The 14,930-nt window shown below is 50.2% G+C and overlaps 1 protein-coding gene and 1 pseudogene across 15 annotated transcripts in view, besides 3 other annotated features; one reads left to right on the top strand and one right to left on the bottom strand.

Annotated features, from left to right (window-relative positions):
* Nucleotides 605-14,930, top strand: part of UBASH3A (ubiquitin associated and SH3 domain containing A) — a 43,783-nt gene continuing 29,457 nt past the window's right edge. For 8 of the 15 annotated variants that reach the window (XM_047440831.1, NM_018961.4, XM_047440836.1 and 5 more), the window contains exons 1-6: nt 605-761; nt 3,011-3,064; nt 6,125-6,311; nt 9,727-9,925; nt 10,113-10,226; nt 13,145-13,314. In XM_047440831.1, coding sequence (XP_047296787.1) covers nt 649-761; nt 3,011-3,064; nt 6,125-6,311; nt 9,727-9,925; nt 10,113-10,226; nt 13,145-13,314 — 837 coding nt within the window. In that variant the 5' untranslated portion in view covers nt 605-648. Of the gene's footprint in view, nt 762-3,010; nt 3,065-6,124; nt 6,312-9,726; nt 9,926-10,112; nt 10,227-10,261; nt 13,012-13,144; nt 13,315-14,930 lie in introns of those variants that run through there. The other 7 variants (XR_007067789.1, XM_047440833.1, XM_047440832.1 and 4 more) reach the window with 3 other exon arrangements.
* Nucleotides 11,359-12,558: an enhancer, noted in NCBI's record as "P300/CBP strongly-dependent group 1 enhancer chr21:43834765-43835964 (GRCh37/hg19 assembly coordinates)". NCBI's record gives its function as "activates an origin of replication core promoter dependent on BRD2, BRD4, P300/CBP, MED14 and CDK7 cofactors, with strong dependence on P300/CBP, by STARR-seq in HCT116 cells {active_cell/tissue: HCT116}" and the evidence as "EXISTENCE:reporter gene assay evidence [ECO:0000049][PMID:35650434]".
* Nucleotides 11,494-11,583: an enhancer, noted in NCBI's record as "active region_18514". NCBI's record gives its function as "activates an Ori minimal core promoter by ATAC-STARR-seq in GM12878 lymphoblastoid cells {active_cell/tissue: GM12878}" and the evidence as "EXISTENCE:reporter gene assay evidence [ECO:0000049][PMID:35858748]".
* Nucleotides 11,674-12,143: an enhancer, noted in NCBI's record as "active region_18515". NCBI's record gives its function as "activates an Ori minimal core promoter by ATAC-STARR-seq in GM12878 lymphoblastoid cells {active_cell/tissue: GM12878}" and the evidence as "EXISTENCE:reporter gene assay evidence [ECO:0000049][PMID:35858748]".
* On the bottom strand, nt 14,200-14,296 carry RNU6-1149P (RNA, U6 small nuclear 1149, pseudogene; annotated as a pseudogene).

Below are 14,930 nucleotides of genomic sequence, written 5' to 3' on the forward strand. Positions count from 1 at the left end.
TACAAAATTCCCCTGGTTGCCCTGTTTGATTTTGGGTCGTGGGGGAATTAGGGGTGTGGGCTCATTTATGGAAATTCCTTGAGCTATACACATATGATTCATCAACTTTTCTGTACACATATAAAGCTTTTAAAGTTTTTAAAATAAAAAAACAAGTCAATGAATGACTGAAAGAACCAGTAAGTTTTCCAGCAATCCGAGACAATAGATAGAGTGGGGTTTAATGTCTTGTTCACAGACAAGGAGACTGGGATCCAGGGTGGGTCAGGGCAGGGGGCCAGCAGGATCCAGGAGGGAACTCATTCCCTGACTTCTCCTCCGCTTCCTTCCCCCATGCTCTCACGCATTCTTGCTCCCGAATACTAGCCAAGTCCCTACAGAGGCTGATCCCGTGCAGGGGCTCGGTTGGACCTTTAGCCTCAAACTCCCGTGGTGGAAACAGTTAGGATTGGTGGACGCTGCACCCAGCATCCTGCAAACAGAATTCTGAAAACTGATATCTCATGCAAACAGGATATCAACTTTTGTCAGAAAGATCAAAAAGAGCTTGAGGTTTTTCTTCACAGCCTCAGCCTTGCCTCTCCCCCTCTTGCTTTATCTCCTCATTTCTGTGTGCAGGCGAGCTTCTTGGCCTAAGGGCAGGAAGAGATGGCAGCGGGGGAGACGCAGCTCTACGCCAAGGTCTCCAACAAGCTCAAGAGCCGCAGCAGCCCCTCGCTCCTGGAGCCCCTCCTGGCCATGGGCTTCCCGGTGCACACCGCGTGAGTACTGCCCAGAGACCCCGGGGCCCAGCCAGTAAGGCTGGTGCCAGACCCTGCTGCGGCCCCCGGCATGGAGCTGCAGGGGTGTAGGGTACGGCTTCCTGCCAAAGCAGTGCACCTTGCAGGGTAAGACACTGCCTCTTCACAGGGCCCTCTTCTGCTTCTCGTAAATGAGGTGATCTTGACCAAGCTTGTCCAACCCACATGAGGCCCAGGACAGCTTTGGGCTTAAGCCATCATCCCACCTCAGCCTCCTAAGGCTGCCCTGTTCAATTTGTGTTGGCTGCCCAACACAAATTGGTAAACTTTCTTAAAATATTATGAGATTTTTTTTTTAGCTCATTAGCTATTATTAGTGTTAGCGTATTTTATGTGTGGCCCAGGGAGGCACAAGAATACCCCTGATATTCTTGACCTTTTAAAGACCAGCTCGGCTGGCTGACTGGGGGACCCTGAAATTTGTGAAAATCAGAAGCCATGTATTACTCTGGGTGCCCCATTTTGGGGGTTTGGAGGAGATTGGGGCCTGGTTGTAATCTCTTTGTGTGCAGCTCAGTGACTCTGAAAGTGGCGTTTCAAGATATTCAAACTCTAACGTGAAAGGCCCCAAAGCCCGCTGAGTCTCTAACACTGGGACCAACTGTCAGCAGGGCTGTGCTTCCACGCTGCCCGGGGAAAGTCACTTGTCCTCAGAGACAATCCCTTGAGTGTCTGATAACGAAACAAATGGGTAGGAAACTTCAGACACAGTGTGAGCGCGACCCTGCTTACCCAAGGGAAAGGCCTGCATGTGGAAGAGCTTAGCCTTCAGAGTTACCACTCTCGGAGAGGGAGGCCACGACACCAACATTGGGTTACAGCTTTCATGGCAAACCAGTGCCTTAAATCTGACCCATTCATTTTTTCACATGGAAAAATGTATCAGAAACACACTTTAAATCTGACCCATTCATTTTTTCACATGGAAAAATGTATCAGAAACACACTTTAGGTAACTTTGGGTTGGGGAAGGAGCTAAACTTTCCTTCCACACTATAACAAAAGCTTGGCCAAATTGGGTGAAGTAACTCTGAAGCTAGACAAACCCATTTCTTCTCCCCAAATCAGGGCTTTGTCGTCACTGTTATGTTCAAGCTAAGCCAGGGGCCTTTGAATGGGGAGTGGGGTCAGGCATGTGCAGGGCGGCCACCGGGCACCGTCCAGGCATTACAGACAAGGCAGCTTTTGTCCACTGCTCACCACCCAGTGCAGGCAGGACACTGGGCCCAGAGAGTGCATTAGTGGCGGAGGTGGAACCCGAACCAGCTTTCCATGCCTTTGAAGGAGTCCACGCTGGATTTTACTACTAAACGTATAGCATGGACTTCTACTCAAAATTCCTTCCAGTTTAAACATTAAGCACATGTTGGAGGAAGAGAAATGTGTGTTAATTTCCCCACACCAGAGCACCTCATAGTAAGTGCCCTGCACCAAGGCTGCCTTGTTCAAACCTCTCCAGGTGGCCACAGCCCCATCGGTGCCCACCCAAATAGCAGCATTCGGCATCATGTGGTGGGTTCCTCATGGACGCCCGCTGTTTCCAGTCTGCATTCCTGATAAATTACCTTTGCTATATTCCATTCTGTTTCATTTGGTCCAGTTCTGCCCAATTCAATGCAATGTACTTACGTCCCGGGTTACCGTGATGAATAAGACTCAGTCCTGTGTTCAGGGAGTTCTTGGTCTAGCAGGGGAGAGCCGTGGGTGCAAGGGGACTGTGTAAGCCGTAACAAGTGCCTGCCTGGGTGCTTTGGAAAGGGCTGTTTCCCAGCAGAGAGGTGTGGGAGGCGAGCCTGGGGATCAGGGTCGCTGATGCTGGGGTGAGGAAAGCGTGTGTCCGAGCCAGGGGCACGTTCCGCAGGGTGGGTCCATTTGATCTAGGCAGTGGGGGGGGGGGGGGCAGGCCAGGGAGAGGGATTGCAGGAGCGGGCGGAGGTCAGGTCCTCAGCCCTGAGACCCCGTGCCAAGGGCTGAAGCGGGTAGCCAGGGAAGGACAGTGAGGGGGAGGTGTGAGCTGGTCAGCATTGTCCAAAACCACGATGGCAGCACTCAGGGGACAGGCGCTAGAACTTCCAGCTGGAAGTTCAGCATCAGGCCCTCTTCAGAGCACCCCCCAAAGATCCTGGGTGTGCAAGGCCACACCCTGCCTCTCTGACCCTTTTCCCAAGAATGGGCGACGTGACTTTGTGTCTGTGTCTGCTCTTCTGCAGGCTGAAAGCGTTGGCAGCCACGGGGAGGAAGACGGCGGAGGAGGCCTTGGCCTGGTGAGTGCAGCTGCTTCTGTAGACCCAGGGGCGTTTGGGCTGAATTCCCTGTGCCTAAGGACTCCCTCCCACCAGGGCTGATACCAGGAAGAGCCGGGCGCCTCTGGGTGGGATGGGGCCACTGCGGAAGTGAAACAAAATAACCTCCCTGCCTACCCATAGTGCACTGAGGGAGGGGCACAGGGCTTTGGTTAACCATGGAAAGAGAAAGAGAGAACTCTGAACAAGGCTTTCTTCACTTACAAACCTGATTCAATCCAATTTGACTGCCAAGAAGAACAGGTTCATGTGCTTTGTTGAGTAAATGGGGAAGACATGATTGTTGTGTTGTGATAAGCACGTAAATGAGGGTAATTGTTAGAATAAAGTAATTAGGTTAAAAATGGTAACATTTGGGTTTATATTAGTACTGCTAATATTCAGCCTATTTCAGTAATTGAAGAGCAGGCTGGGATTTTGCATACTTGTGTTTGATTATGTCCTCCTCAACTGCCTACTACGATGGATAAGATTGAGATAGATAGGAGGATGTTTGTGTTTATTGATGGAAAGATTTGAGACATAATTGACATCTTTGCTGATAGAGACTAGCGGCCACCATGCTCTCGGGCTGCCTCTGAGGGGAAGGGAGTTTACTGGTGGTCATGAAGCCAGGTGTGTGGGTCTAAGGGTGCCAGGTGTGTGGGTCGGGTGAGGGCTCTGATTTGAGGTGACCTCACCAGGTACCAGCTGCGTGAGTGATTCTTCAAGCCACCCACTGCCATGGGCCTGTTCTCTGCTCTGGGGATGGAGAGGAGGGCCACCGTTTCTCTAAAACCCTCTCCTACCCGGATGTGCTGTGGGGAGTCCTTCATCCTCTGCCCTGAGATAGCCACGGGGAAAATCAAACAATAAAAACCAGGTCCTGGGAGGCTGGAGTGTCCTCTCCAAAGCAGGAGGGCAGATACTGATCCTGGGTCTCTGAACGTGCAGTGTTCCCAATGGGATGCCCCCTCCTCCTCCAGAAAGTGTAGGCCACGGGCAAAATGGGCAACCCCTTCACAGAGTCCACTAAAGCCAGTTGCCAATTTTGGATCAGAAACAAGCCCACTGCTGTGAAGGGCATGGCCAGCACCTGCCCACTGCAACCCAGTCAATAAGACTAGGAACCCCACCAAAAAATAGGGAGGCAATGGGGTCCCCTAGACTGTCAAGAGCACCCCAACCTCTCACTAGTAACCAGGGAGGTGGTGCAAATTAAGATATCATTAGAGCAAACAAGGTAACTCCAAGTGTTGATGAGGGTGAGGGAAGCAGGGCCTCACACGTCACTGGTGTCACTGAGGAAGGCAGTGCTGGGTATCTGCCAACCTTGGCAATATGCACAGCCCACCAGCCTCCGTCGTGCGTCTAAGCAGATTCCCTGGAGAAATGCAAGGAGCCTAAAGAGACATGTACAAAGATCTTGATTGCAGGGTTATGAAATGGTTTTAAAATAAAATAATTTAGATGTTCATCAATGCGGGAATGAACAAGTGCAACATTGTATATGTATACATGAACTATTACACAGCCTTTAACAAATTCGCGCTGACAAACTTCACTAGACACGTGTGTATCAACAGGGATTAATTGAAAAGACATGGTAGAGGAAAAATGCCAGTTGTAGAATAATTTGAATAACAGCTTATGATTTATGTAAAACAAGTGCTATCTATAAGTCCGTTACTTAAATTTCTGGGAGAAGGCAAAGCAGCTTCACCCTCTGGGTGAACCCTGGAAAGGGGGAGGGTGGGAACCACGATGGAGAGGAGTGGCAACTTCTTCTGTGATTTTTATTGAAGAGAATATGGTCTTGCGTAAGTTCTGTTTCCTCTAGTGATTGAATACTACTTTCTAAATTGAAAATTATATCACAGGCACTTTGCTGAGTAATTAGAAATTCTTCCAAACCATGATTTCTAATGAATGCACGGTAAATAGATTTGCTATCAGTTATGGAGTTTTTCTTCTTTCTTCTAAATAACCCTAAATAACCTTCTAACTTTCTTCTAAATAGCCCTAAATAGATGGTTCATGTGCAAAGTTTTGCCTATACAGTACTTTGTGCTCTTTCCTCGGGAGAAATTTCTGGAAGTAGAATTATTAATGCAAAGAGTGTGGGCATTTTAAGACTCTCAATACCTATTGGCAAATTGCTTCACATAAAAGTTGAAAGGTCTGTCCTTAAGTCCTGCTGCATCTTTTACACATTGAGCAGAACTTTTATCCTTTTTATTGAAAAAATCTTTGTGAACTTGACAGATGAGAAAAATGCCGTCTCGGAGCTATTTTATTTCCATTTTTATTGTTAGTGACAATGAACTCCTATGTTGGGTCATCCGTCGTTTTTCCTTTAATTTAAAATAACTGTCTGCCTGAAATCCCAGCCAGTCAGGAGGCTGAGGCAGGAAAATTGCTTGAACCGGAGAGGTGGAGGTTGCAGTGAGCTGAGATTGTGCCACTGCACTCCAGCCTGGGTGACAGAGAAAGACTCCATCTCAAAAATAAAATAAAATAAAATAAAATAAAATAAAATAAAATAAAATAAAATAAAATAAAATAAAATAAAAACTGTCTGAATCTAAAGAAACGCAGCAGCTACCTAAATTTTGTCTAGGTTTTTGGTTTTGGTTTTTATATGTAATTTGAAGTTTGAGGTAAAATACAAATGTGAGGTTTTTCCACAAAATTTTCCCACACCATCAAGGAGATGCTGGGCCCACGGATCATTGGAAGACCAGGTTTTAGGTCTTGCTGTCAACTTTCTTTCATTTTTTCTACCTTTGACTTTGGAATCAGACTAAGGTGGGTCTGAGAGCAGGACTTACACTGACCAGGTCTGTGCCACACACAGCTGTGCCGCAGTGCCTCCCACCAGTAGGATGGCTGTGAGATTAATTTATGTCATGAGCATATATGATGTCTTCAGTGTGCCCTATAATTCTGCATTGCTGTCATTGTCATTCTGTTGTGTATCCTCAAAGGGGAAAACTCTTTTTGTTGTGACAGTGGGTGATGCCGGCTTGCTCTCTGTTGCAGGCTGCATGATCATTGCAATGACCCTTCCCTAGACGACCCCATCCCCCAGGAGTATGCCCTTTTCCTCTGTCCAACGGGGCCCCTGCTGGAAAAACTTCAAGAGTTCTGGAGAGAGAGCAAGCGCCAGTGTGCAAAGAACAGAGCTCATGAGGTCTTCCCACACGTGACACTCTGTGACTTCTTCACGGTGAGTCAACCCAGTGTGCCTTCAATGCTCACGGCAGCTGGAGGCATTTTTCTGTGCTAACTAGGCCATGATGGGACAAAGTTGACTTATTTAAATGGGATAGTCCAGAACTGCATCATTAGCTGGCACCTTCATATGAGCTGTCCTTTATTTTCCTCTTTGCCTTCATCTGGTCAACTCCTATTAATCCTTCAGAACCCAACTCATTTATCCTCTCCCCTTTTTGAGTCTTCTCCAGCTCCCCAGGCAAAAGGAGTTGCTGCCCATTTTCTCGTTCATGTGTCTAGTGGCACTTTTGTATCATACGGGCCATGTGTCTGGTGCAGCACCGCATCCCTCACCAGACCGAGTCCCTCAAGGGAAGGCAGATACCTCACTCATCTTTGCACCCCCAGAAACTAGCACAGCCCCTAAAACAGAGTTTGTGCTTCCAAAATGTGTGGTAAGTCAACTCAAGGATGGGTGATTGTTGGCTACCCACAAATGCAGAACTTTTCCCTGTCTCAGGGACCAGCCGTCTGATTCAGAAAAAAAATGGCCCAGTGGGTAGCTCCACAGCAAAACACAATGGCCCAGCAGGCAGCTCTACAGGGGCACCGGGAAGACAAGAAGAATGTGGGAGCTGCTCAGGAGAAAAGAAGGAGAAGGGAGAGACAGACAGCCACTGCTCTACTCAGCTCCGCCAGAGGGGCTTAAGGAAGGGCACACCCACTTCTGCTACCGCGGCCTGGCCCCAACTCTGCTGTTGGCAAACTGATTTGTTCCACCCATTTCAAGGAATTCCATCAGGGCCCAAGGAACCCTCCATTCCAACACCAGGCCCCTCGGTGCTGGATGGAAAGGAGGAATGCAAACCTCTGAAGGGAAAAGATTTCTGGAAGATGTCCCAGGAGAAGCAGTACCTTCCAAAGCCTCCAACCACCACCCCGGATTGCCCGAGACTTGCAGGGATCCCCAGAGCACAAGACTAAACCTGGAAAAGCCCCAGAAAAATCGAGAGAGTTTTCCCCCTACATCGACATCAATGGTACTTGTGACAAGCTGACTCCCTTCTGGTTCACCCTCTGGAGCCAACGGGGAAAGGCAAGGCAGCCCAAGCCATGTGACACAGCTCAGAAATCAGAGCAGGCCTTGGCCCCCCACTCCTTCCCCAGCCCACTGAGGTGCAAGCACACACACACACACACAGATAGACACAGAGACACACACATAGCTCACACACATAGACACACACAGATTGACACAGAGACTTACACATGCACACAGATACACACACATACATGCATACAGACATACATAGATATAGACACACAGACACACACAGATAGACACAGAGACGTACACACGGCACACACAGATACACACACATACATGCATACAGACATACATAGATATAGACACACAGACACACACAGACATGGAGACGTACACACGGCACACACAGATACACACACATACATGCATACAGACACACACAGAGACACAGATACACACAGACACACACAGATAGACACAGAGACGTACACAGCACACACAGATACACACACATACCTGCATACAGACATACATAGATATAGACACACAGACACACACATATATACATGCATACATGGATACAGACATACACAGACACACACAGATAGACACACATACACACTACATGTACATAGGTACACATGCAAACAGATACACACAGATATACACACACAGGAATACACAGATACATGCACATAGACACACACAGACACACACAGAGACACACATTAGATAGACACACATGCACAAACACAGACATGCACATACATGCACATACATAGACAAATGCACACATACAGACACACACATAAGCACCACATGCACACATATGCACACAGATACACACATGCATACACACAGACACACATATAGACATACGCAGACACACAGACACACATAGACATACGCATATGCAGACACACACACAGACACACACACATATAGACATATGCAGACACAAACACACTCACACACCTCCCTCTGTCGTTAGCTCCTCCCAGTCCCCCACCCCAGTTCTGGCCTGGCCGTGGTTAGTGGAGCTCCCCTCACAGGCAGAAGAGTGTAACGGAGACTCACTGTGTACCTTGATGCTGTAAAATGAAAACACTAATCTTCCGAAGTGTGATATTGATCACAGCTACACTTATAACATGACTATTCTTGAAAATTACATATCTGAGGCCAAGAAACACAATGTGAGACGGATTCAGGAATGGACATGTGTTCACTGGGTGGTTTTGTGTTGAGTGCCGTTGAGGGTTGCAGAGAAAACAGACAGGGAGGAATGTCAGGCCGGCCTGTCCATGGGGAGACGGAAGCTGCATTAAACACTGTGATCTGGCCTCATACTTGGGCTTGTAAGAAGCACTGTGGGAAATTCCGAGGGCAGCCCGGTGCTGGGAAGAGAAGGGATCAGGCCAACTCCCGCCAGGAGGGTGTGGTGTCTGGGTTTCCCCTGTGGTCCGATGTGGCCAATGGCACTGGGAAGGTTTTCAAGCCCAGGAAGCAGCCTCCCCAGGGCGGTAGGCAACACCGAGCCCAGATGTCAGGAGAGGCTGCGTCTGGCTGGAGGATGGGGGTGGGAGCCCCGTGGGCAAGGCTGTCGGGCCAGCACCTGTCGGGCTCCGTGGGCCTGAGGGATTCTCCAGGTGACAGAGAGCCTGCGGCCTCAGGGGTGGGAGCTGCATCAGAAAGAGGGTCCTGCAGCCACTCAGGGGGCATCAGGGAGGCCGGGCCAGGGGCTGTGCAGGCTCAGGTCCTCCAGGGAGCAGACCCCAAGGCAGAATTCCCAGTGCAGGAGACGCACAGGGGAGAGACTGCTGGTGAAGGCAAAAGAGGAGGAGAGGGTTGGAGGCAGGCAGAGCCTCAGTGCCTTAGAGGAGTCCCTGTGGAACCCGACTCAGTGCTCAGCCGTGGAAGAGAGGGTGGCCCCGCAGCTGGAAGTGCAGCTGAGTCCCGCTCACTACAGGCTCTGAGCAGTGCCTGGGCAGCCTTGGAGTCTGCTAGAAACCTCCAGAAGCCAAATCATGCAAACCTGAGCAAAGCAGTGTGCCATGGGACTGAGGAAAGGGCCTGGCAGGTGATGAGCACGTGCCATGGAGGGAGGGGATGCAGTTCAACGACCAGGGGATTTCCAACCTGGGCACCTAAAGGAGACTCCAACCTGCAAAGAAACTTACCTGAAATATTTGAAAAAACCGAGGTCCAGGTATAGAACAAATCCATAACCCCAGACACAAAGGGACGCAATAAATTATGTTACAGCGCTTTGAACAGAAAAGAATCTCACTTTAATTGCTGCCTGATTGTTATTAATTAAATTAATAGATGACTTCTGATGAGAGGTGTGGAAACACAGGCTCTGTCTCTGTCCCCTTAGTGTGAAGACCAGAAGGTGGAATGCCTGTACGAGGCGCTGAAGAGAGCTGGAGACAGGCTCCTGGGCTCCTTCCCCACGGCCGTGCCTCTGGCTCTCCACTCCTCCATCAGCTACCTCGGCTTCTTCGTCAGTGGCAGCCCCGCAGACGTCATCCGGGAATTCGCCATGACCTTCGCCACGGAAGCATCTCTCTTAGCAGGTGGGCAGCCCTGGCCAGTTGCAAACACAGGGCTGGATTCACAGTGAGTGAGCCCTCTGTGGCAGGGACTAGCCCCCGGCACATGGATGCAGTGGGTGGGTTCCAGGGGAGCAGAGCCCAGCAGCAATGGTGGGATGGCTGGGTGGGCTTTCTTCCGGGCTCAGTGGCTGCACCTGTCCTCACCCAGGCACTTCCGTTTCCCGCTTCTGGATTTTCAGCCAGGTGCCTGGACATGGCCCTAACCTGAGGCTGAGCAATTTAACTAGAGCCTCCTTCGTGAGCCACTACATCCTTCAAAAATGTAAGCCATTAGAAAGCTTCCGGACCAGCTTTGGTCTTCTCTTTAGGCGGGAATAGCCTTGTTCTCATTATGTGGTTTTTAAAATGCTTAGCTATATGCCAACAGCCTGGGAAAGTGCCCCAGAAGGGTGTGCCAAGCATCAAGCCTGAGTGGGTGACTGTGACGGGGTTGGAGGCTGGTGCACACAGGGAGTCAGGGCCTCCCCACCCCAGCCTTGAGTGGGAGACACACAAGTCCTACGTGACTTATTTCTGTATTTTCAGTATGAGCTTAGTGCTCTCTCCTTGGCCTCTCCAGGGAAAGATTATTTAGACTCATATTCAGAATCATCAAAATTCCCTTCTCTCCAAACACCAGCCCTGGCCTGGAGACCAAGGCTACCATTGGGGTTTAGTGGAAAGGATTGTGGACTTGACGTCAGAAGATGTGATTTTTTTCTGTGTCCCTGATGAGTGGCATGACCTTAATCAAGTCATGTCCACTCTCTCTGTCTCTTTTTCTTTCTCTACAAAACAATGAGGGCTCTCACTCTTCAAGAACAATGTTGCCTGAGTCTGTGGCCCATCCTGCCATAGTTCCCGGGACACAGAAGGCACTCAGTATTGCTGAGATTTGCCGACTCTAAAATCTGACGAGGCCGCAGTGCCTTGGTGGGAGGGCTCCCCACTTTCTCTCTCTGGGAGCGTGTCTGTCTGTGCTCAGACATGTATGAAGCACAGATCCTGGCCTGTAAATCCATCCCTGAATCCTGGGCTTCCACTTGGATGGCAGCTTGTGAGTCTGGAGATCGAATCTGCTGAATAATTAGAAAGTCGCCCCCGGTCTTTGTGGATTAGTATCCTTTATCAAATGATGGCTCTTTCACACCCAGGCCCTCCCCCAGTGAACCTCATTGGCAGCATCTTAAAAACAGGAAGACTGAGGCTGCAAAGGGTGAAGGGCCTGCCCAAGGTCCTGTGGTGTGTAGAGCGGTGTCCCCTAAAAATGTTTGTCCACCAGGAACTTGGGAATGTGACCTCACTTGGGAATAGGGCCTGTGCAGATGCGATTGGTTGGGAGGAGGTCACACTGCATTAGGGTGGGTTCCCGTAAGGGTAGAGGCCGCACAGAGACACAGAGAAGCCATGTGCCGACTGAGGCAGAGACTGGAGTGATGTAGCCACAAGCCAAGGGACGCCTGGGGCCACCGGAAACTGGAAGAAGCCAGGAAGGACCCTTCCCAGGAGCTTTCGGGGAGAGCACAGCCCTGCCAACACCTTGATTTTGAACCTCTAGTCTCCAGAAATGGGAGGCAATACATTTCTGTTGTTTGAAACCAATCTAGTCCCCTAACCAGGCTGGCGGAGCAGGGACCTGAACCCACCTCTGTCCTGCTCCATGCTGCCTGGGTTCATGCTGGGCAGCCCCACTTCCTGTGGGAGCCAGCGTTGACCTCACATCTACGCCCCGACCCTAAGCAGGCTGTGTCCTGCCCTTCCATGGCCCATGCTCTCAGCCTGACACCGAGGGGGTGGAGGGGACTCTCTCAGTGATGAGTGACCAGTCACTGCTCTGAAGTGGCCGAGGTCCCTCTTGGGGCAAATGCATGAGGCCCCCTTGCCCGCGTTGGTCCTCCCCAGTGAAACGTGCCCATAGGCACAGGTCCGCAGAGAGAAGGAAACGCAAGGACCCGTTCAGAAGTCGGTGTGACTCACTCTGACGTCAGCAACCTGCAGTGGGTCTTTCCCAGGCCACACTCACTCGCATGGCAAGGCGGTCCTCCCCGACTGCTAAAAACAAAAGTCAGGAAAGGAATTTCCCCACCACCTACACACTCATGCTGCTCCCCACCACCTACACACTCATGCTGCTCTGGGCTGTGCAGCCTCAGTGCCCCAGCTTTCCTAGAGACCGTGGGAGCTTCCCATTTGCCTCTAAAGGCTCACCTCTCACGTGGGAGACAGCAGTGAGCCCCAACTTCGGGGCTCCAGGGAAAGGCTTGCATCAACCTTGACCTTTTTTAGGGGGTGAGCAGATCCTGTTTGTAAGTGCCCTGCCGTGGAGTGGGGGCAGGGTACGTCTGTGCACCGACACGGCGTCTCTAGCAGGAAACTTTAGGTTAGGAGGCTGATTTCCCACTGCAGCCTTGGCGAGCAGGCGCTGCCGTCCTCCAGCAGATGCTGCTGAAGCAGAAATTGGGCAGGCCCAGAGGCTCAGTCAAGGTCACCCTGCAAAAGGGGGCAAAGTGCAGCCTAAAACTAGGTCTATCTGACACCAAAGTTTGTGTTGTTCCCGTCAAGACACAGACCGCCTCCCTAGGACATAAAATACTTTGTGGCTCAACTGAAATCAGATCCTGGCTGCTTTGGTGATGCCAGCTGCTCTGCTCAGACTGACCTGAGAGCCCCTGGCAGGACCAGGGAGGGCTAGGGCCACAGGGGCAGAGGACACCCAAAAAGACCTGAGGCTCAACCACTCCCAGGACTTCCTGCTTCACCAAAACAAGGTGAACCTTAAAGACACTGTGTGTTTTATAGTTTTGTTGCCTAAAGAGTTTTCTTCTTGAAACTCTACGATTAAACAAAAAGCCGTTGAACTGGAGCTCGGGCCTGCAAGTCCAGGCCACTGGGTAACGTGCACACCCCGGGGAATGGAGGAGCCGTTTACTCTGTGCATCTGAATCGTGCATTCGGGCAGCTAGCCTGCAAACCGATAGGCCCCCGAGACCCTGAACCCACATCTCCATATCGTCCTCTTTCCTACTTCCTGGAAAAATCTACAGGGATCCAGCCATCTCCTTTATGATGTGAGTTCTGAGCGGGCCAAATGAGCTCTGAGTTCTGAGAGCCCTTGCCTTGTGGAGGAAGCATGGAGGTCGGAGGAAGGAGACATTTAGGTAACGGTGTCCTGGCACCCTCTGTGTTTCCCTGATTTCACAGACTGCTCCGTGAAGCCTTGCACCAAACAGCTGCATCTGACCTTGGCCCACAAGTTCTACCCCCACCACCAGAGGACGCTGGAGCAGCTGGCCAGAGCCATCCCCCTGGGCCACAGCTGCCAGTGGACCGCAGCACTCTACTCCCGAGACATGCGCTTTGTGCACTACCAGGTGAGAGAGCTGAGCAGGGGCTCATAAGAAGCAGATGAATGGGCTGGGCTCGGTGGCTCACGCCTGTAATCCCAGCACTTTGGGAGGCCGAGGCGGCGGATCATGAGGTCAGGAGATGGAGACCATCCTGGCTAACATGGTGAAACCTCGTCTCTACTAAAAATACAAAAAATTAGCCAGGCACGGCGGCGGGCACCTGTAGTCCCAGCTACTCAGGAGGCTGAGGCAGGAGAATGGAGTGAACCCGGGAGGCGGAGCTTGCAGCGAGTGGAGGTAGCATCACTGCACTCCAGCCTGGGCTACAGAGCGAGACGTCTCAAAAAAAGAAGCAGATGAGTGAACGGCCACTCACCTGACAGCATGTACCCCCTGGAGCCCTCCAAGGGAGATATGTTAGTAGCAAGGAAAATTTCTATTGCTTCTCTAAAGCCATTCTCTTTCTTGTGCAATTTACAACCAGCATTCTTTTATATGTGAGTTAGAGATGCACAGACAACAAAATAGAAGCATTTCCAATATTAGAAAAGGAAGCTGGGTGTGGTGGCTCACACCTATAATCCCAGCACTTTGGGAGGCTGAGGCAGGTGGATCACTTCAGGTCAGGTGTTCGAGACCAGCCTGGGCAACAGGGCAAAACGCTGTCTCTACTAAAAATACAGAAAATTAGCCGGGCGTGATGGCACGAACCTGTAATCCCAGCTACTCGGGAGGCTGAGGCAGAAGAATCACTTGAACCTGGGAGGTGGAGGTTGCAGTGAGCAGAGATCGTACCGTTGCACTCCAGCCTGGGCAACAGAGCGAGACTGGCAAAAAAAAAAAAAAAAAAAAAAAAGACAGAAAGGAAAGGACTATTGTAAAGATCTATGAATACATGTTTTGCTTATTAATTCTTTTTTATTTATTTATTTTTTAAATGTAGGGGCCATGCTAATCTTCTCTGCAGCATTCCAATTTTAGTTATATGTGCTGCCAAAGTGAGCACAATTCACTTTAAAGAATGATTTGAGTGAAACCTCATTCTGGGACTTCCTGCCCATGAATCGATGGGTTTAGAAACGAAGTGTGTGATGCTCCTTTCAGACCCAGAGAGCACGTGTGAATGAATCCACCATGTTCTGTATCGTATGAGGTGTCAATAACCTCACACCGAGGAAGGCGGATGTGAAAGTCTGCTTATGCCTTCAGATCTTTTGTAGACAAAAAAGTACCTAGATGGATGGATGATGGATAGATCCCAAAATGTATCTCTTTTTTTTTTCTTTTTTTCTTTTTTTTTTTTTTTTTTTTTTGAGAGGGAGTCTCACCCTGTCACCCAGGGTAGAATGCAGTGGAGTGATCTGCGCCCACTTCAACCTTCGCCTCCCAGGTTCAAGTGATTCTCCTGCCTCAAGCTTCCCAAGTAGCTGGGACTACAGGCACCCGCCACCATGTCCAGCTAATTTTTGTATTTTCAGTAGAGACGGGGTTTCACCATATTGGCCAGGCTGGTCTCAAACTCCTGACCTTGTGATCCACCCACCTCGGCCTTCCAAAGTGCTGGGATTACAGGCGTGAGCCACCGCGCCTGGCCCCAAAATGTATTTCTAAATCTATCCAAAGAATTCTATGCTGCGTTT

The sequence above is a fragment of the Homo sapiens genome, chromosome 21 (genome assembly GCF_000001405.40).
Source record: "Homo sapiens chromosome 21, GRCh38.p14 Primary Assembly".
Taxonomy (NCBI): domain Eukaryota; kingdom Metazoa; phylum Chordata; class Mammalia; order Primates; family Hominidae; genus Homo; species Homo sapiens.